Consider the following 1,358-nt stretch of genomic DNA (forward strand, 5'->3'; position numbering starts at 1 on the left):
CCCTGGAATTCCTAGCTAGAGCAATCAGACAAGAGAATGAAATAAAGGGCATCTAAACTGGAAGGGAAGAAGTCAAATTATCCTTATTTGCAGATGATAAGATCTTATATTTGGAAAAACCTAAAGACTCCACCAAAAACTATGAAAACTGATAAATAAATTTGAGAGAGTTGCAGGATACAAAATCAATATACAAAAAAATCAATAGCATTTCTATATACCAACAGCAAACAAGCTAAAAAAGAAATCAAGAAAGTAATCCCATTTACAATAGCTACAAATAAAATTAAGTATCCAGGAATTAACTTAGCCAAAGAAGTGAAAGATCTCTACAATAAAACTGTAAAACATTGATGCAAGAAATTGAAGAAGATACAAAAAAGTGGAAAGGTATTTTATGTTCATGGATTAGAATAATCAATAGTGTTAAGATGTCCATACTATCTGAAGCAATCTACAGATTCAATCCAATTCCTATCGAAATACCAATGACTTTCTTCACAGAAATAGAAAAAATATTTCTAAATTTATATGGAACCACAAAAGATCCAGAATAGTCAAAACTATCCTGAGCAAAAGGAACAAAACTGGAGGGATCACATCACCTGACTTCAAATTATGCTACAAAGCTTTAGTAACCAAAACAGCTTCGTATTGGCCTAAAAACAGACACATAGATCAGTGAAACAGAATAAAGAACCTAGAGATAAATCCATGCATCTTCAGTGAACTCATTTTTGACAAAGATGCCAAGAACATACATTGGGGAAAGGACCGTCTCTTCAATAAATGATGCTGGGAAAACTGCATATCCACGTGCAGAGGAATGAAACTAGATCCCTATCTCTCACCGTATACAAAAATGAAACAAAAGTGGATTAAAGACTTAAATCTAAGACCTCAAATATGAAATTACTAAATGAAAACATTGAGGAAACTCTCCAGGACGTTGGACTGGGCAAAGATTTCTTAAGTAATACCCTACAAGCACAGGCAACTAAAGCAAAAACGGACAAATGGATCACATAAAGTTAAAAAGCTTCTGCATAGCAAAGGAAACAATCAACAAAGTAAAGAGAAAACCTGCAGAATGGGAGAAAATATTCGCAAATTACCCATCTAACAAGGGATTAATAACTAGAATATATAAAATGCTCAAACAACTCTATAGGAAAAAAAATCTAATAATTTGCTTTAAAAATGGGCAAAATATCTGAATAGACATTTCTCAAAAGAAGACATACAAATGGCAAACAAGCATATGAAAAGGTGCTCAACATCATTAATCATCAGAGAATAAATCAGTATATCAAGGAGATATCTGCACTCTAGTATTTGTTGCAGCACTGTTCACAATA

The sequence above is a fragment of the Homo sapiens genome, chromosome 1 (genome assembly GCF_000001405.40).
Source record: "Homo sapiens chromosome 1, GRCh38.p14 Primary Assembly".
Lineage (NCBI taxonomy): Eukaryota > Metazoa > Chordata > Mammalia > Primates > Hominidae > Homo > Homo sapiens.